The 15,167-nt window shown below is 47.4% G+C and overlaps 1 protein-coding gene across 14 annotated transcripts in view, besides 3 other annotated features; it reads right to left on the minus strand.

The window, feature by feature from the left end:
- The window catches only part of FYCO1 (FYVE and coiled-coil domain autophagy adaptor 1), a 77,922-nt gene that overhangs the window by 41,015 nt on the left and 21,740 nt on the right, over positions 1-15,167 (minus strand). For 11 of the 14 annotated variants that reach the window (NR_170107.1, NM_001386426.1, NM_001386423.1 and 8 more), the window contains 7 exons: positions 14,171-14,314; positions 10,758-10,848; positions 7,360-9,786; positions 6,116-6,208; positions 5,419-5,537; positions 3,308-3,475; positions 476-625 (listed from right to left, as the gene is read on the minus strand). Coding sequence is in view for 13 of the 14 variants with exons in the window: in NM_001386426.1 (NP_001373355.1) it covers positions 476-625; positions 3,308-3,475; positions 5,419-5,537; positions 6,116-6,208; positions 7,360-9,786; positions 10,758-10,848; positions 14,171-14,314 (3,192 nt within the window). In the remaining variant the exon portion in view is untranslated. Of the gene's footprint in view, positions 1-475; positions 626-3,307; positions 3,476-5,418; positions 5,538-6,115; positions 6,209-7,359; positions 9,787-10,757; positions 10,849-14,170; positions 14,315-15,167 lie in introns of those variants that run through there. The other 3 variants (NM_001386430.1, NM_001386427.1, XM_047448903.1) reach the window with 2 other exon arrangements.
- Positions 3,041-3,230: an enhancer, noted in NCBI's record as "active region_19787". NCBI's record gives its function as "activates an Ori minimal core promoter by ATAC-STARR-seq in GM12878 lymphoblastoid cells {active_cell/tissue: GM12878}" and the evidence as "EXISTENCE:reporter gene assay evidence [ECO:0000049][PMID:35858748]".
- Positions 8,758-9,397: an enhancer, noted in NCBI's record as "H3K27ac-H3K4me1 hESC enhancer chr3:46009167-46009806 (GRCh37/hg19 assembly coordinates)". NCBI's record gives its function as "activates a minimal SCP1, AML or CMV promoter by ChIP-STARR-seq in naive H9 embryonic stem cells {active_cell/tissue: H9 hESC(naive)}" and the evidence as "EXISTENCE:reporter gene assay evidence [ECO:0000049][PMID:30033119]".
- Positions 9,398-10,037: an enhancer, noted in NCBI's record as "H3K27ac-H3K4me1 hESC enhancer chr3:46009807-46010446 (GRCh37/hg19 assembly coordinates)". NCBI's record gives its function as "activates a minimal SCP1, AML or CMV promoter by ChIP-STARR-seq in naive H9 embryonic stem cells {active_cell/tissue: H9 hESC(naive)}" and the evidence as "EXISTENCE:reporter gene assay evidence [ECO:0000049][PMID:30033119]".

Here is a 15,167-nt window from a genome sequence, read left to right on the forward strand (position 1 = left end):
CTAAGAGACCACAGACCTTCACAGCTCTGCTGATTATTCTGCACCTGCCCCCAGCCCAGCCCGAGATTCATCTTTATCCATCCTTCTCTGGCCTTCATGCCCCTGGCACTGCCTGTGTTCCTCTAGTGAGGTTTCAGGCCAGCTCTTGCTGGCTTCCAGTAATGCTGCTCCCCTCTGGTCCCTATAGGAATGGTAGAAGAACTGCTAGTCTCTGGGTATGCCCCATCCCTGCGGGGCCCCCTAACTCCATCCACATCTCTGTATTTTTTCCTTTCAGGGAGCCCTGAGTGTCTTGTTAGGATCCCAACTAATACACCTTCCTTACCTGGTTCCCTTAAAGCCAAAACGCAATGTGCTCTTCCTAAATAGTCAGCCATGGTGCCAACACCTATCACAGAGTCCTCTTTTGGAGCTGTCTGCTCTGGTCCTGGGCCCCACCAGGGTGTTGGTGCCAACCCACGAGCTCCCTGCTGACCTGCAGTGGTGCCGCCGCACCATCCAGCTGAACTCCCGCTTACAGTCGAGGCAGTGGTTTGCCTCTGTGTCTCCGAGCCATCTCTCCTCAGCACTGAGCTTCTGCTGGAATTCCAGGGCATCTGACTTCTGCCAGAGAGCATCCTTGTCCCTGGGACAAAACCACATTGGAAGAAAAGGAGAGAGAATCCATGAAAACAATAGGATGATCCTTCTTCATTTCAAAAGACTGGTATCAAATTTCCTAAGTCATAGAAAGAAAATTCACTTTCACCTTGGAAATATGCCCCAGCCCATGCTAAGTCTCCTCCATCTCCCCCGACATGCAGACTTAACTGACACCGCATGTGTGAGAACATGCGGGAGGCAAAAGATGTACACAGAAGGCACTGTTAAATGCAAAGAGCTGCCAGCACCAAAGAGAGCCACCACTCAGGCACCTAAACAACAGTGCTGGGGGACCACTGGGAGTTTAAGCTAAAACGTGCTGCCATGCCGACGGCGTGCAGTAAGCCCAAGGACCATGAATGTACTTCCCACCTGAATCTTAATGTGCTTGGGGCCCTTTATGTTTCTATGGTTGATCCAAGTAACAATTAATCAGTGGAGAAGATCAAAGATTTCCTAGTGTGAAAATCTGATCAGATGTTAGCCTCCTCTGCCCCTCAGAGAGATGGTAAGGTCACTCCAAGAAGCCAGACTCAAAGAAGTGTGAGGCTTTCCAGAAAGGTCTGGCAGTGTCAGAATGTGCCTGATGCACTGGAGGGGGAGGATGTGAACAGAGGCTTCCTCAGGGATACTAATGAGCATGTTCAGGCTTGATGGTTTCTGACATGTGAAGTTTAGTTCTTTCTCGTATGGAGCCCCAGCTAGCATCCTCAGGGCTAACGTGGCTCTAGCAGCACCTCAGCCACCGGTAATGTGACACCCGAGCCACTCAGGTCCTGAGAGAGACAGGCTCCATCACTGACCAGGAACTCCCAATCAACCCCAGATCTTTTGCCTTAAATAAAAAAGCTTGAACATGGGCTTGGCTGGCTTTTTCAAGGACACTTGAAATTGTCAGGAAGCAGGAAGACTCATTCTCTGAAGCAGCCTCATTCTCTAGGCTGGTCCACCCAAACTTTGGGAATGTGGAATGCTGCCAGGAGCTGGTGTTTTCCATCACACCCCTCAGGTCACAAATACCCTGAGTTCTAACTCTGTATATTGATGATAAGAAGGCAGAGTTTTTAAACTTTCAAATTGGTTATAATTTTAATATCACTGTTTTCTAACACTTAATGAATTAGCATATCTAGGCTTTGCTGATCCATGGTGCTGCTAACATCACAAAAACAGGGCTAATCAGATTGTATGTGCCTCTTGAAGGAAAGACCCCAAACTACAAACCAATTCTATGAAGGCTTCTTACCAAAATTTTGAACCTGAGTCTAAGCAAGCTGCCAGTAGAATGATGGTTCTCAGCTCTGGCTCACTGGTGTCTGAGTCTCACTCCCAGAAATTCCAATTCGGTTAGTCTTGGTGGGGCCTGGACATGGGCATTTTTAAATTACTTTCCTAGTGATTCTAATATGTAGCCAGGATTGAGAACCACTGCAATAGTTCTAACTATGGACTCACAGGAAATGCAAGGGATGGATGATCATGTTAAATGACACCATGGGGATGCAATCGGCAAAAGTAGAGAGATGATAGGGAAACCCATTGACTAAAAGGGATGTAAGAGACACAGCAATTGCAATAGATGAATCTAATTTAGATCCTGATTAGAACGACCTGAAAATATTCTAAGGCAATCGGAAAAATTTGAAACTGACTAGACACTTGATGATATTAAGAAATTATACTTCATTTTTTAAGGTGTAATAAGGACACTGTGGTTGTTTAAAATGGAGGGTTCTGGCACCAGGCATGGTGGCTCATGCCTGTACTCCCAGGACTTGGGAGGCTGAGGCAGGCAAATCATTTGGGGCCAGGAATTCAGAACCAGCCTGGCCAACATGGTGAAGCCTATTTCTACTAAAAATATAAAAATTAGCTGGGAGTGGTGGTGTGTGCCTGTAATCCCAGCTACTTGGGTGGCTGAGGCACAAGAATCGCTTGAATGCAGGAGGAAGAGGTTGCAGTGAGCCAAGATCACGCCACTGTACTCAAGCCTGGGCAACAGAGTGAGACTCTGTCTCAAAAAAAAAAAAAATTCAAAAAATAGAAAATAAAAGAGTCCTTACCTTGGAGAGGTACATATTGAAATATTTATGGATGAAATGATATGTCTGGGATTTGCTTCAAAATAATCTGGGAAGGTGGGTAAGCAGGTGGGTCTACAGATGAATCAAGACTGGCCCTGAGCTGAACACTGTTGAAGCTGGGTGACAGGTACCTGGAGGTGTATTACATGATTCCATTTTTGTATATTTGAAAATTTCCATAAGGAAAAGTTAAAATAAGTTTTGAATGACTTGTCAGCATTAAAAAATCAGGACACTTCACATTAAGATCCAGGTTTCCACCTTCTCTCAAGAAGTAAGGTGGTCTGGCAGTTCTAGGCCAAGACATATGGCAGAAGCAGAGCCCAGCTGTGTCCTCAGTTTCTCACAGTCCCCTCCTGATACAAGCTTCCACTTGTATCAGCTGCCTGGTACCTGCAGGCGCTGGAGTTTGGGACTCTAGTACTGGGGAAAGTGAGATGGAGAAGGAGAGAGGGGCTCCTGAGACAGCAGCAAGAAAGTGGGGAAATTTCTGAAGTATGCTTTCAAGAACAGCTGCATTTCTTTAGAGAAAAACCCCAGTGTGGGGAAAACCCCAGCTGCTGGTTTGACACAGCACTCACCTGAGCAGCTCTATCAGCCGCTCCTCGAGATACTTCTTGGTTCTGTTGAGGTCATCCAGGTCAGCAAGCATCTTCTGGTCATTCCTCTCACGATTTGTCACCTCCTGGCAGAGTTTGTTGTAATACTCTTGGATTTTTGTTGTGGCTTTTTCGAGTTCCTTCTGGGTCCTGGGGGAGGAGTGGTAAGTTTTCTTGATTAGCCAGGACTTCCAGCTTTCCCAGGGCTCTAAGCTCACCCAGGACTCTAATGAGGGGTGCTACTGCCCTCCGCCATGGGGGAGCCCCTTGGTATCTGCTCACAGCTTATGCAGTCCCCTAGCTTTTGAGACTCTCCTCTCACCCCCACATACAAAGGGGCATTCTGGGAGGGAAAGCAGGCTGACCCCAGGTTGCCAGAAGCACCCTAAGTGAATAGAACTCTGCACCCCTTGGCTCCTGGACAGGGGCTGGGCTTGCAAGAGAAGCCTGATAGGCAAGGCTCATGGGCTGGTGATGGGGAGGATGGGCAGGAGGAGAAAGGAGTCAGGACAGGCAGGACAGAGGTGTAGCTTCCTGGAGGTGGCCACACAGAGGAGGGCCTGTCTTCCACACGTCCTTGGGACTCTACACATGGGGCATGGCCCTGGGCCCACAGCAGGCACTCAGTCTTAATCTGCACTGCCAGCTGTTCTACCTGATAGCCCCCCTGAGGCCCAGGGAATTCCGTTTTGGGTGCTGCAGGGTGTCTCAGTCTATAGCAGAGGGAGCTGGCTGAATCTCGCTGTCTTCCTCACCCCACCCACTCCATTTTTAATGCAGCTATTTCCTAAGGCAGTGGTTTTCCAAGGATGGTCCAGTGGGACATAATAAAAGCTCCATTAAACAAAGGGTTCTGCAGAGAGACTGATTACTTTACACCTTCCACATCTAGTATAAAGTTGCCAGGAAGTTGTTTAGTAGACCCTGTCCACCAAAATGGCCTTATAGGTGCACCCACACACACAGGCAGCATATGTGTGTGCTTGCACACACACACACCACACACACACACTGAATAAAATAAGTTGGCAAATAGACTGTACAGCTTTGAGCAACTGAAACAAATGCTCTGAGATCTTACAAAAAACCACTGTTTATCATGTTTTCATGCCACCAACTCAGACTCTGTTTAAATTGTCATATGAACATGACTTAACTAAGGGCAGCCAGTGCCCTGTAGGATCTGAACACTAGAAGGGTAAGATGAAAAATGTATGTCCAGGTTACCAAATGTCAAAGATATCCTGGATCTCCTACTGAGCCAGAGCCCAGGCCTAGAAGGCAGGTGTTGGGAAGAGGTAATAGATAAATAGAAAAGTTAGAGACTTGGGACAATTTGGTGTGCTTATCTTTGCTGGTGGCACACATGCAATTCGATTCCAGCAACTCCTCCTCCCTGCTACACCTTTTTAAAATCAGGTCTTCCTCCCTGTTACATCTTTTCTTAATCAGGTCCTGGCTCAACTAGCTGTGTCCCATGACCACATGGTGGACTTAGGCTCACAACTCCACATGGCCCCAAGCCTGAAAATGAGGGGGTCAAGGAGGCCTTGGGTGGCAGCGTGATCTGCTATCCACAGATATGGCATCAGAGTCTGCACAAAGACAGGCTGATCCTGGTCCTTGGCACACTCATCTTCCTCATCCATAAAATGGGGATAGATGATAACACCTTCCTCATAGGACTGTTAGGAGGATTAAATGGGTAAATGTATGCAAAGTATTCAAAACAGAGTCGGCCACGTTTTCAGCATTATTTAAATACATGCTGCTACTATTACCATTATTATTATGATCTAACTTTTATTTCATTTTAGTTTTTCCAAAGCTTGCAGTTACTGAAGTATGATATGCACTGCCAGAGAGAAGAAAATTGAGTTAGGAGAAAGGTGCTTTAGCCGTGTATAGGTTGTGATGGGCAGGCAACCAGGTTCTCTGTGGCATGCTTCCAGCAGAAGCACTTTCTGAGTTTGTGGCTTTTCTTGCAAAAGGACTTCCTAAACCTAATATGAGTGACTGACTTTCTAAATGACGAGACCAAACACTCCTTCCCTGAAGACTACCGACAGCTACGTAGGTGGACTGTGACTAACCTTTCTAGGTCTTCACGCAGGGCAGCCCCCTCCTTGTCCTTCCTCAGCATGGCCGCCTGGCACTCTGCAAGATGGTTGCTAGTGCAGCTCAGCTTCTCTCCCATGTCTGCTTGGGTGGCCTGGCACAGGACGTCAGGGAGAAGACACTCAGCTTGCAGAAGGCCATGCAACGTACCATAAAGTGGCTGGTGTGCCATCCACCCCATCTGGCTGGGTCACTTCTAAATGGAGGGTTGTTTCCTATTAAGTTCAAGAGGCCATGAACCTCTGCTCTATATTTGTGGGGCCTCAACTGCAACTAGTTGTGGTGGTTGGCAAGTGGCAGGTACCAGAATTCCCAGGGTAACACTGAAGGTAGGGGTGGCAGGGAGCAGGATTCACCTGAACAAGTCACTGCTCTGAAGACTGTGGATCCAGTGCCACCCCTGCTCCCACCCATTTCAGAATCACTGGCTGGCGATCACCCATAGAGATGGCCAAAGAGGACACTTATTTCCTTTCTGCATTTGGCAGCTCCGGCCAGGTGTCCAGGGAATGGATGGAGGGGGTCAGGGTACAAACTAGGGTGTCTACAAAGGTGAACTGAGGACGGCTTCAGCTTGGGAATCTGGAGGCATGCAGGGAGCCCTCTTAAATGGTCCAGTCAAAACCACACCAGATGCCCTCTCCCTGACAGGTCTACACTACCAGGGCCTACCTTCAGCTTCTCCACAGCTTCCTCAGCAGCCTGCAGCTGCCGGCCTTGCTCCTCAAGCTGGCCCCTGAGGCTCTTGCACTCTTCACCAGCATTCTAGAGAGGACAAGAAAGAAAGAGGACATAAAAGTAGGGTCCTTGCTCTGAGGATCCCTCAGCCCCCTCACCCAAACAGATAAAACCAAGCTAACTTTCTCTTTTTCCCTGCAAACTGGCTCCTCAATGAGCTTTGGGTTTATTAATAGTGAAACACTTTCAAGCTTACTAAGAAAAGAGACTTAGCCTGGTCCCCAAACTTAGAACTTAATTTCCGCAAGGGAAAAAGTTGGCTATAAGCCACATGGAGTTTCACGGAGTGGGGTGGCACTGGGTGGGGAGGCACATCTGTGGCACTGCGGTGGAGCTGCCTCAGAGAGGAGGGTTAGGAGTAGCCTGAGAGTGCACAGACCTTGATGCAGACAGACTAGTGGCAAGCCCTGGAAACCAAAGCCCCAGGCCATTCTGCGCTGTCTTCACTCTAGACAGTCCTTAACCCCTCATCTTTGTGTACTATCAAAGGCACATAGTAACTGCTCATCTCATTAACTTGTCTGTCCCAAGGGCCTTGTAAAAATGAAGTGAGCTTGTTCCCTTCCCTGTATCTGCTGTCAGGAGAGCACCTGATGGGGTTGGTTATTCATTAAGAACTCAGAGATAGGACATGAGGCAGCTGTGAACTGCTGGCCCTCTGCAGGGGTTTTAGAGGCCAAGTCAGGGCTCTCACACTCACATGCCCGGCGGGGCTGGGCAAGTACAGAAACCAGTGTAAGGAAAAGTGCAGAGGATGTGTGCCTCCTTTAAAGTGGGCAGACACCCTCAGGTTCCTGCTGACTGCTGCCACAGGGCGGGGGCAAGGTGAGGACGCAGGCTTTCAAAAGCCCTCAAACTATATTTGTAAACACCCTGCTCTTTCAATGTTGGCTACTAGTTTTACAAACTTCTGTGTGGGCTAATCTTGTTTGCAATGGTCTTGAGTTTAAACTTCTGGGCTAAGGCATCACTCCCAATGTTCTGCGCCTAACATATTCCTGCAGAGAGAAAGATGCTACTGGGAGCTGTGATAGGAAAGGGCCACAAGGTGTTTGCCTGCACCCACAGTACATTCTCCAGCCCTCACCTGCCTCATGGCTAAAGGTGCATCTTCCCATGGACCCACCAGGCCTGCCCAGGGAGAGGGGTAGAGCCCAAGTGGTTGAAGCTAGGATTACCTTAAGTCTGCTCTGGTAGTCCATGATTTCAGCACTCAGCTGGAACTTGAGGGTGTTGAGCTCCTGGTGTGCAGCCTCTTGGAGGCTCTGGGCCCGCTGCTCTGCCTGGGCGAGCTGGGCCTGCAGGCCAGGCAGTGAGCCGGCTGCTGCCTTGGCCGCCTTCAGCTTCTCCTGCAAGCTCTCCTTCTCTTGCTGCAGCCCAGCTACTTGGCGCTCCAGGCCCTCTCGCTCCCTTGAGGCTGCCTCTTTGGCGTCCTGGAGCTCCTGGACAGCACAGGCCAGTGCCTCCTCCACTCGCTCCTTTTCCACGGTCAGTGCGCAAACCTGGATGCCCAGCTCAGCTGTGTCTGTGTTGGCCCGGTGCAGCTGCTCTTGCAGCTCAGCGTGCTCCAGCTGTGCTTCCTCGGAGCTGCATTTGGCCTGGGACAGCTCCTCCTGCAGGGCCCGCAGCTCCTCCTCCCTCTGCTGGGCCTCATCGGCCCTCTCCTCCTGCAGTGCCCCTTCACGCTCCGAGCATTGCAGCAGCTCCTGGACATGGGCTCTGTTAAGGGCTTCATTCTGCTCCTTCAGCTGCTGCACAAGGGTTTTGTGCTCCCTCAGGACGGCCTCAGCCATGCTTAGCTGGCTCTGCACCTTGTCCTGGTCATCCAGGGCTGCCCGCATCTTGGCCTGGAGGTCCACCACCTGAGCCTGCAGCCGTTGGACCTCCCCCTGATGGACTTCCAGCTGCGCCTGAGACAGGGCTAGCTGGGCAGCCAGCTCACGGGCTTCATTGTCAGTGGGTGGGCCAACTCCCTGTTGGCCTTTCTCTGCTGTGAGGACCTCAATCAGCTGGGTCTGCTGCTGGCACTGGCTCTCGAGAGCCCTAAGCTCTCTGTGCCGGGCTTCTGCCAGTTGCTGGCACTGCTCCACCTCCTCCCGCAGCTGCTGACACTCGCCCTCCTTGCTCTGTAGAATGGCCTCCTTCTCTGCCATCTGGGCTTTCATGGCCTCCTTGGCCTTCCTTACAGCCAGCAAGCTCGCCTCCATCTGGTCACCCAAGTGCCGGATGCTGGCCTGCTCGGCCTCCAGGGAGGCCAAGGAGCCCTGGATGGCTGATTCCCGCTGCTGCAAAGCCTGGTAATCGGCCTGCAGGGCTTGCAGCTTGCCCTCCAGGAGCTGGTTACGCCCGACCACATTCTGTAGCTCCTTCTCCAGCTCCCTGTTGGCCTGCCGGAGCTCTTCCTCCTGGCTGCCCTCTTGCACCTTGGTATCGTCTAACTGTGCCTCCTGCAGGCCCCTCTGCTCCTCCTCTGGCTTCCCCCAGGCCTCTTGCAGACTGGAGTTCACAGGGACCAGGGCCTCATTCTTCTCACCTGCCACTGGCAGTTCTGGGCCAGGCGGCCCAGCAAGCCGCTCGAGCATACCCACCTGCTGGCTGAGGTGGTCTTTGTCCTGAATGAGCTGCTTCTTCTGCTCCTCCAGGTCACTCACATGTTGGCTCACCTGTGCCAGCTGGGTCTCCAGGAACTGCAGCTGCCGGGTCAGAGACCTGACCTCCTGCTCCAGCAGCTCCTTCTCCTCCTGTTGCTGTTTTTTCTCCCGCCTCAACTCTGCTAGCTCCTCCTCCCAGGAGCTCGTGTGGGCCAGCAACTCCTGCAGCCGTCGCCAGAGCTGGTCTGCCTCCTGTCCCTTCCCAGACAACTCCTCCTGGAGTGGGGCCATCTCCTTCACCAGGCGCTCCAGGCTGGCCCGGGCATCCTCTTTCAGCTGAAGCTCCTTGACCAGCTGTTCCAGTTGGGCACTCTGCTGTCTGTTGACCTCCTCGACCTTGGTTCTCTCCCTTTCTAGGGCTTGAAGCTTCTCCCCTAGCTCCTGCATCTCCTGGGCCGCATCACTGGGAATAGGTTCTTGCCGGCCCTTTGTGTCTGATGCCGTATCTGCCTTCTGCTGAGCCATGGCTAGCCAGCCTGGGAAGCTGGCTAAATGCTGGTTTTTCTTGTCCAGTGAGTCCCGTGTGGCCTCAAGCTCCTGTGCCAAGGGCTGCAGCATGGACTCCAGCCGCCGCAGGGCTGTGTGGTAGTCCTCCTCCTTCTCTGCTGCTCCTAGCTCCAGGCCCTGCAGGCATGTCTGCAGCTCCTTCACAGTGTTCTGGGTGGCCTGGGTGACCTCCCACTGCTTCTGGAGCTCAGCTACCAAGCAAGTGAGGCGAACGTTGTCCTCCGCTGCAGTGCGCCCCCTCTCCCTCTCTGTCTGCAGTTGCTCCCCTTGCTGGCTGACAGCTGCCCTCAGCTCCTGGTTCTCTCTGTCCAGCTGCTGCATGCGCTCCCGTAGCTGCTTCTCCCGCACCTCCAACTGGTCCAGCTCTAGTCGCATCTCATCAAAGCCCTCCAATGCCTCGTTGTTTAGGGGGCTGTTCAGGTCAAAGTTGGACACCATCTCTTGAGTCTGGGAGGGAAAACACAAAAGACAAGTGGCTTTAGGATGAAGCTACAGGGCTATTTAGAAAAGCTTTAGAGTTTAATGAGAGCAGAGGTAAAAATACAGGCATTACCTGCCCTAAGGTTAGTCTAAAGAACTATTCAAAAGACTAGAATCCCTTTGCTCAAAGCATCTGCCACAGATTCAGCAGCACATTCCAAAGCTATGAGGCCACCCATGTGAGCTCCACTGAGATACAGACTTGCATTTCCCATCCAGCCTTCTTCAGCCTTATTAACTTAATGGACGTTGTCTCTGAGATAAATTCAGTTATATCTAAGCTGTTGTTCATTCATTGTGCCATACCCGTAACTGCAACTCCTGGCATGATTAAGCCACAAAATAAGGTAAAAGATTCATCTATTTTCTACTCTTAATGCTCCTTATATTGATCATTTTAATTTTTTTAATTGCTATTCAGTTTCCACAGAACTATATACAGCTGTGATAAATTCACATTTCTAAAAAAAATTAACAAACTGCCACTACCTACTAACATTGACTGAGCCCTTGCATATGTCAAGCCCGTAAGTACTTAACATATGCTTAAGAAGTGCATGCGCACTCCTCATTTATGAGCTAGAATGAGTTTTATTATCCCCATCCTGTGGATGAGAGAGCTGAAGGTTAAGTAATTTCCCCTTGGTCACAGCTGGTAGGTGAGAATCAGGATTTGACTCTTGTCACTTTTAACCACGGTGCTAAACTGCTTCTTTTAAAATACTTTAAAATCATTTAGAAGAATGTAATTTTAAGAGAGCCTAGATTCTATTTGGTTGAAAAACCCAGACTCCCGGGAACAGCAGCCATAACTGAGTGGTTCTATTGCTCTGGCTGGAACAACGGGCATCTGAGAACATCACCCTTGAGTTGCTAGGGGCAAGGACATACCCTGGTAGAAGCTATAGGAAGATAATTCCCAGCCTTCCTGGCCTTACCTGCAGGTAGCTGCTCACCAAGCTGCTCATGCTGGAGCTGCGGCTAGGGGGTTTCCACAGGTAAGCAGAAGAGCCAGTGGTCAGCGTCCTCCTGTGGGGCCACAAAACAGACATACCTGTATTCAGAGCAGGAAACCTAACACATGGAGGCCTTGCTGGTCACTAGGCAACCAGGTGGTGGTAGGGGGCTGCCTTCCCAGGTAGAATGTAAGAAAGTCAAAGCCAACAGATTCCACCAAAGAGCACAGCTACACTGGTCTGTAACAGATAAATTCCATGGCTAGAGTTTTACCATCATGGCTTTCCTCCCACTGCCAAAAAAGAATTAAGTGAACATGTATTTCCCACTATTTGGTTTAAATTTTCCTTGAGCTTTTGGTGCCTGCCTCAGTTTGTCTGCCAGTGAGGAACAAGCAGCAGTCAGTTTGGTAAATAAGAGTCACACTGTGCTTGGGGGCTCAGCTGCCCGCTCTGTATGACACAGCAACAGTGTGGCTGGGAGGCCTGCTTCTAGGTCACATAACCAGGCCAGTCAGTGCAGATACAGAACATTTCCCTCATGCAGAAAGTTCCATTGGATGGCACTGCTTTAGAAATACAAAGGCTTGTGTGATAACTCTCGTTTAGCAGGAACACTGGAAACGAAACACATTTTTACTTCATCAGAATCATCTCCTAAATCTAAAATTATTGTGTGTTCAAACCTAGTCTCCAAAACCCAGCAACTGCCCTTCACAGTATCTTCCCTGAAGACAGTCACATATGTACATAAGGAGACAGTGGGGATGCTCTTGGCAGCACTGTAACTGGAAAAAGGGAAACCAAACAAACTCTACACTGCTATGGAAAGAGATACACTGTGGCTTATTCACCCAACAGAATTCTCTACACCATGGGTTGGCATTCTTTTTTTTTGAAAAGGGCCAGATAGTAAATATTTTGGTCTTGTGGGCTATATGGTCTCTGTCACTCAACTGGCACTGTTAGCATAAAAGCAGCCATGGACAACAGGTGAGTAAATGGGCAAAGCTGTGTTCCACACAGCCCTCTGGGCTGTGCTTTGCCAACCCAACTCTACACTTACAGAACTCCATGTATAAACAGATACAAAATCTCAAAAACAAGGCAAAATGAAAAAAGCAGGTTGCAAAGGATAGCTATTACATGATTCAACATGTGTAAAATTTTAAAACATTTACAAAATAAAACTATATATATATACATATATAAAATATTTACAAATACACAATTAATAATGAAAGCATAAGATCTGAGAATGAAATGCATTGATTACATGATTACTTCTGAAAGGGGAACAAAGGAGAAAGGATGGCATTGGGGTGGGGCTTTAGCTGATCTATAATATTTTATTTCTTAAAAAAGTATCAGATGTAACCAAACCTCCCCACAAGAGCCAGCTTGAAGGGGGCTCCCCACTGGGGTAATTGGATAAATGGGATAATGTAAGCTTCAAAATAAATAATGACAGTGACAGAATGCAACCTATTGAATAAAATAAGAATCCATGAGTCAATACTGCTATGAATGAATAAATGGGGAAAAAGAAAAAGATCTTCCTTACAGTAGAATGCCAACTAATAATGTAAAAGAAATAATGGAGTTAGAAAATCACTCTGGTAATTATTATGGTAATAACTGCTTCAGGCAAGAATGATCAAATGGTATTAAAACTAATACAGGACAGATTTAAGAGAAAAAAGGATAATAATGTAATTTCAGCATGTCTTCCCATAAGATATATACTCATTACAAAGGAAGAAATAGTAACTTTTGGAGAAACTTGGCAAGCACCGCCTTACCCAAATGACCAGGGTTAACCTCATTAGTAATGAAACAAATCAACACTGTGTGCCTCCAGATACAGTGTGCTGACAAGGACACAACAGGTAAGGTATTCCTGCCAAAAACACTTAACCTAAATCCAATAATGAGGAAACATCAGACAAACTCAAATTAAGGAACATTTTACAAAATAACTGGCCTGTATTTTTCAAAAATGTCAATGTTATGAAAGACAAAGACTGAAAAACTGTTCAAAATTAAAGGGGACTAGAGAGGCATAGCAATTAATGAATTAACAATTAATATGTGATCTGGGATTGGACCTTAGATTATGAGAGACATTACTGAGATAATTTGTAAAATTTAAATGAGATCTGTAAATTAGATAGCAGTATTGTATCAATGCTAATTTTCTGATTTTAATAACTGTACTGAGTTATATAACAGGATGTCCTTGATTTTAGAAAATACACAATTAAGTACTTAAGAGAAAAGAGGATCAAGTCTGTAATTTACTCTCAAAAGGCTTAGGAAATAAATCAACATGTAAATAGAAAAAATGATGAACAATTATAGTAAAATATCGATAACTAGGGAATCAGGGTGAAGGATAGATGAGTACTTTGTACTATTTTTGCAACTTTTCTGTAATTCTGAAATTATTTCAAAATGTAAAAGTTTTAAAAAGAGTATCTGGGCCAGGCGTGGTGGCTCACACCTGTAATCCCAGCAGTTTGGAAGGCCAAGATAGGAGGATAGCTTGAGCCCAGGAGTTCAAACCAGCTTGGGAGAGATGGCAAGACTCCGTCCCTACAAAAAATAAAAATAAAAAAAGGACATCTGAATATGGCAAAATTAAATCCTAGTGGTTTGCATGTGACTATCATAGTCACCACTTTTCTCTATACATGAAGTATTTCCTAATAAAAAATATGAATGTTAAATTTTAAAAGCCTTATAAACAGAAAGCAAAACAAAACAAAGAACACTGGACTTGATTTTAACCCAAGTCAGGTGTCCCAGGCCTGCTGCCCACCAGCTAGGTGACTTTGTCAAGTCCCCTGATCCTCTGAGCCTGTTCCTCACACCTCCTTCTTGGAGCTCATGTAAGGACTCTGGTGGTATGTGAGTGCCACACTGGTGTAAGATATGGCTGGCTTGATGGCCTCAGAAAAGAAAAAAAGAAGAAACAAAAATGCAGCAACCTTTCCTGCAACCCTTATGTGGACAAGCTGTGGCTTTCACTTCCTCTCCTACTGCTTAGGAGCCTTCTGTAATAACTCCATAAGAACAGGCACGGGAAAAAGCCCACTCCTCCCCCAATGCCCGTAACAACAAGTGCCTTAAAAAAATTTTAAAGCCTTGGCTTTTGCAATACACATCTCCACTGACTCATGCCCTGGCCAGTTAAGTTGGTTTAAGGTTGGAGCCTTCAGATGTTATTGTTAGTCATGATTCAACAAAGTCTGTAAAAGGAGCTGGAATAAGAGTTGAACAGGTTTGTGTAATTTACTGAGCAAGCAAAATTGTTTTGAGTAGACTGGTGGCAATCTTCAAAACTTCAAATGTCTCTTTTCCTGTCTTTTAAACCAAGCAATCCTTCAAAGTACCTGGCAAATGTTGGCCAGGCAGCATCCAAGTCAAAGCCCCTCGACGCCAGGTCAAACTGAACCTCAGTCAGCTCATAGAGTTGGCCCACAATGTCCGAGCTCAGCTTTGGCTGCAGAAAGGGGCTTCTTGCATAGTACCAGTCACTGCAGAAAAACATGTCAATTATAAGAGTAATAAAGATAAAGTATGAATTTACTCAGTCCTCCCACTGTGGCTCTGCCTCATCGAATTCCAACTCAGGTTACTAAATTAAAAGACACAGGCACACAAACCAATTTCATTTTCATGGTAGAAGAACATAACTCTCAAATAAGCTTGCTCTTCTTCAAAGAAATTACTGCAATGATCTGGATGCTTATTCATTTATTATATATATCATATCTACTTCTCAAAAAGGATATGGGAAACCTTAAACATCAATTATTTGCCAAGAAAGGGGAATTGTAGGAGAAAGAAAACTTCTTTTTTGAAAGATTACTACCTATTCCATTTTCAGAACTCAATATGGGACACTAAACTCACTGCTAATTTCTGTCCAGATACCAATTTAAAAGCCAAGGAACAAACTATTCAGAAATGGTTCAGCACCGTAAGACAGGGTGAGAAAAAATAAAATAAATGTTATCTGCATTTTGAGGTAGTGGTTGTTTCATTTCAGGCAAAGTAACAAGAATTTTAAAAAGATGCATCAGAACACAGTCGCTCATGCCTGTAATCCCAACACTTTGGGAAGCTGAGGCAGGAGGATAGCTTGAACCCAGGAGTTTGAGGCCAGGGTGGGCAACATGGCAATATCCCATCTCTACCAAAAAAACACAAAAAATTAGCTGAGCATGGTGGCATGTACCTGTAGTCCCAGCTTCTCAAGAGGCTGAGGCAGGAGGATTGCTTGAACCCAGGAGGTAGAGGCCACAGTAAGCCATGATCATGCCACTGCACTCCAGCCTGTGTGACAGGTTAAGACTACCCCAACCCCCTACCCCAACCCTTGCCCAA

Source organism: Homo sapiens, chromosome 3 (genome assembly GCF_000001405.40).
Source record: "Homo sapiens chromosome 3, GRCh38.p14 Primary Assembly".
NCBI lineage: Eukaryota > Metazoa > Chordata > Mammalia > Primates > Hominidae > Homo > Homo sapiens.